This window comes from Homo sapiens, chromosome 20, assembly GCF_000001405.40.
Source record: "Homo sapiens chromosome 20, GRCh38.p14 Primary Assembly".
Taxonomy (NCBI): Eukaryota; Metazoa; Chordata; class Mammalia; order Primates; family Hominidae; genus Homo; species Homo sapiens.
In genome coordinates, this window is record NC_000020.11 from 43,301,126 (window position 1) to 43,305,961 (window position 4,836).

The 4,836-nt window shown below is 43.8% G+C and overlaps 1 non-coding gene across 1 annotated transcript; it reads left to right on the top strand.

Moving 5' to 3' along the window:
* The first annotated feature begins 3,429 nt into the window (after positions 1-3,429).
* On the top strand, positions 3,430-3,554 carry LOC124900461 (small Cajal body-specific RNA 15). Its single transcript, XR_007067764.1, has one exon.
* The last annotated feature ends 1,282 nt before the right edge of the window (positions 3,555-4,836 follow it).

The window sequence follows — 4,836 nt, forward strand, 5'->3', positions numbered from 1 at the left end:
TGAGGAACAAACTTTATTCTAAATCTGCTGATGAGGATGAAGAAATGGCTCCTTGTGTGGACCTCAGCAGGCCCAGCATGGTTCTGCTCTCTCCTCTGTTGGGGCTCGACTTGGCTGCTGGCCATAAGCAGCTAAGGCCAGGAAGAAAAAGACTTTCCTGGGGGAGATGACCAATATCTAGACTAAATTTTGCAAGATGAACCAAGGCCTTCAGTAAACCTCCAGTGATCTGGAAGAATAAATTGTATTTCTTTTCTGCCTGGCCCCCATTGGCCCAGTACAACCTGAAGGCAGAGGACAGAATGGCTGTTTGACACAATCCATGGTAATCACCTCCAGGACACAGAGAAGGGAAGGGGAGAGTACAGCATAGATATAGAGGGACAAACAGAAGGTGCCCAGCACACCTTCAGAGCACTCGTCCCCCCTTGTAACTTAGAGGGGGGGTCTCTAAGTCCATGTGATTATTTAAAGCCTGTGTTTCCCATTCAACCCTGACCTCTATTAAGAGCATGAACTGGGCTCATTCCTAACAGCTAGCATAGCACCTGCACATAGAAGGTACCTATAAATATTTACTGAGTAGTGAATGAAAAAATAAATGGCTACATGACTGAGCAAACTCCTCAGTATGAAGAACACACACACACTAACTCCTCTAGGGAAGACCCCAGGATCACTCAGGACCCTTTCTTCTCAAACCCAGAAAGCTGAGGAACAGCTATCACTGAGCATCAAACATCACCCTCTATTCCTTTGTCACTCAGCCTGGAACTCAGCCCTGCCCCAGGCAGGGGCTGAGCTGGTTCATGCTTCCCTAGCATACTACACTTCTCCCACTGACTCAGAGCTGGTCCCCACTACCCATACTGCCAGACTCAGTATAGCAAGGGACCTCCAGCACTGCTGTCCACCAACTCCTCTGGCAAGTCCTGCCCACCTGCCACGTCTGACCCCTGCATGTGAATACCAGCCTAATTGACCTGAGGTCACTGTGCCCCCTCTGATAGTGTGGTTAAGACGATGGACTACCCACTGCTCAATCCTATGCCGAATTACACCACACTCCACCAGGCCACACCTAGCCCAGTCTCACTCTCTTTCCCATGTGGCTACTGCTGAAGTCCCAGAATTCCAAATGTCAATTTCAGCATAGCATCCAATCAGTCAAGTAGCTAGGGAAAGCCAGGAGGGGAATCAAGATCTGTAGGCTTTGCTCTTGGGGCAAGTTCAAACCAATAAGGTCTGGCTTTGCCTTCCTGACTCCTCCTACATGGAAAAGGATACCAAGTCTGCTATGTATAGTTGTAAAAGTTGTTCACTGCACAAAGGTGCCCAGTTAAATTGAACAGTGAGGGTTCAAATCCAGCCTGTGTTCTACTTGCCAAGCTATGTATCCTGGCCTGGGCTGGGTCTTCCCAACAGAAAGGATGTCTTCTTTCCACTTGCACTAAGGTGCCATATAGGCTAGGGAGCCACCTTGAAACAAATCCTACTGGAAATCTGGGCAAAAAAGTTCATGTTTAACAGGACTGGGGCCTGGAATAGTCTCTTTATATCTCTGATTTTCAGGAAGGCTGATGGCTTCGAGGCCAGTCCTTCCTGTAGAAATTCATTACACAAGAAAAGACCTTCTAGAGTAACAAAAGATATTGCAATTACATTTATCAAAGAAAGCATGGCAATCAATGTCTTATGCACAGACCATGTTTCAAATGCCCTTAATCAATGGCTGTGCTAATTACACATTTATTGCAATTAATTTCATTTCAATTCTACTTTAATCATTAACCTTGAGTGAGATTGGGCAGATCAGAGAGTTTGTGTCACCACAGGGCCAGGACCCAGGGATAAGTTGCCGTCCTTCGATTGAAAGATGCCGCTCCATTAAAAGTTGGTTTATTGGCTCAAGGCCTTTTTGCAGGGGGAGGGAGTTAGTTTCTCCAGGGAGGCAATTCATAATGTGAGTCTGAAATTGAACACAGGAAGGCAGGCAGCTGTGCTTACGAATTAACTAGAGCTGATGTTTAATTTGCTTCTTATTGATGCCATTTCCTCACTGGTTCATTAGCTGTAGTTGGAGAATAAATGCCTTCACAGTTCATTCTTTATGATGTCCTCAGCTTCTGGGTCAGCCTCATTTGTTCCTTATCTTCCCTCCAAAAGAGGGCTCTCTCTTAGCCTCTCCTCATGTCTAAAGGCTCATCTGTGAATTTCTGGGGCAGGGCCTTGGCTTCAGTCTCTGCACAGAGCAGGGTCCCCTTGGTATCTACAGTGTCTGCCCACTGAGACTACCAAGGATAATGCCATTGCAACAGTCCAGATAGGGGTGTTGGAAAATAACTTGCCCTGTGGCAAAGCAGAAACAACTTGTAGGATAATAGAACTCGGGCTTTGGAATCCCTCAGACCAGGGTTCAAGTCCAAGTTCTGATACTTCTTAGCTCTGTGGTCCTGGTGTAGTAGGACGAGCCACAGACAAAACCCCTCAGACACCGAGTTAAAGAAGGAAGGGCTTTATTCGGCCGGGAGCATCGGCAAGACACACGTCTCAAAGACTCAGCTCCCCAAGTGAGCAATTCCTGTCCCTTTTAAGGGCTCACAACTCTAAGGGGGTCCATGTGAGAGGGTCGTGATCGATTGAGCAAGCAGCGGGTACGTGACTGGGGGCTGCATGCACTCGTAATTAGAATGGAACAGAACAGGACAGGGATTTTCACAGTGCTTTTCTGTACAATGTCTGTAATCTTTAACATAACTGATTCGGTCAGGGGTCGATCTTTAACTACCAGGCCCAGGGTGTGGCGCCGGGCTGTCTGCCTGTGGATTTCATTTCTGCCTTTTAGTTTTTACTTCTTTCTTTGGGGGCAGAAATTGGGCATAAGACAATATGAGGGGTGGTCTCCTCCCTTACTGGGAAGACAGGTTAATCTCCTGAGTCAGGTAAGTGTAAGACAACCATGCCCAGCACTTGGAAGGAACTCAAAAAGTTCAACTGCCTTATGCAATAAACCCTTCTCTAGGGTTTACAGCAACCACACCTTAGCAAGATTTTTTACTCCCAGGAGGGAAGACCTTTCTACAAAACATTTCTTTCACTAGCCCAGGAGGAAGGAAATGTAGAGATTTTCTGGTCTAGACCTTCATCTTAAAGTTGGGGAAGGAAGGGAAAGCTTGAGGTCACATTGGGAGTTGGTACCAGAACTGGACTATAGCCAAGTCTCCTAGTTCTCAATTCTAGAGCTTTCCTACCACATCACAAGCTAGCCTCTTTGAACAGTGATTTGTCAGTATCTGGTAAAGATTGAAAATATACAAATATCCCATGTATGTGCTCATGGAGAAAAGAATAAAAATATTTACTGCAGCATCATCCATCATCAAAAATAAGTACTAACTTAAATAGCCCTCCATAGAGAAACACAGAGACCTGGAGACTAAGAAACCAGTCCTTGAAGTCAAGCTGACTCTGCTTTTAGCCTCCTAAATTAAAAGATAGATAGAATAGGTCTTGTTTGCAAAATAAATTCAAGATCTACTCATCTATCAATAGCAAAAAAAAAAAAAAAAGAGAGAGAGAGAAATGCAGAGGCAAATTGTGATGTGTTCATAAGTTGGAATACTATACAGCCATTAAAATGGATATACCTGATCTATATTATCAGCATGGATTAATTTCTAAAGCATAATGTTTGATTTTAAAAAGCAAGTTGCAGAATATTTATAGCATGATACCACGTTAATTTTTTAAATTCACAAATTCAAAGAGATTATAAATATATCCATATGTAATTTAGATATTAAAGCATAGGCAGGAAGAATATACCAACCTGAAGGGAGTGGCCACCTGGAAGAATGGGAGAATGGGATCAGGAGAAGCATAAAGAGGACTTCAGCAATAAGGGTAGCATTTGACTTATCTTTTGAGAAAGATTTGACACATATTGGATTAAATGTGCTCATCTGTTCATATTGGGTGGCAAGTCCTTGGTCTTTTTGCTTTCCAAACTTCTCTTTCTGCTTGAAATTTTTATCACCCATGAAAAATAAAATGGTTAAGCTTTGATGTAGATTCTCTGTCTAAAAAAAAATCCCGATGATTATCACTTACGGAGAACAGAGACTCTGAAATTGGAGATGGTTCCAAGATAACACTCAACAGCATGAGAGATAGGATGATTACATGTCCCAGTTTGCCAGACCTAAAACAGAGCTTGTTGCATGTAGTACTCAACAAATATTTATTGAATGAATTAAAGAATTGAAATATAATGGATACCAATAAATGCATTTTCTCTCCTTTCCTCATGAAATCTTCACAGGAAAATCAGTTAAATGGGGCAGAGTGAGTCATGGAAATCAATGAGAAGCCCTTTGTCTAATCCTAGACTCTTGGAGAAAGATGATGATGGCTGGGACAAGAGTGATGGTAGTAGACATGGAGAGAAAGAAGCAGACAGGTTTCAAAGACAATAGGTAGGATTTGCTGATGGAATGGATATGGGGATTAAGGAGGAAGATCACAGCTAAGATTCTGGCTTCACTATTCCCTTGGAGAAGAGTAAGGAAGAGGGAGAGATTCTGAGTTTCATCTTGAACATGCTGTATTTAAGGTATAACCCAACTTTCAAAGGGGAACACACTCCCTTCAGTGCCCCATCCAATACCAAGAACATCTCTCCCTGGGTTCTGTGTATTGGCTCAGCCCTATGCCAGGGCCATGTGTGTCTGCTTGATGCCCCAAAGGGCTCCTAGCTTCTATTCCTTGGGTTCTCAGGAAGTTTCCTGTGACTCAGATGTTAATTGGCCACAGTCAGGTGGACTTTGAAGCAGCAGG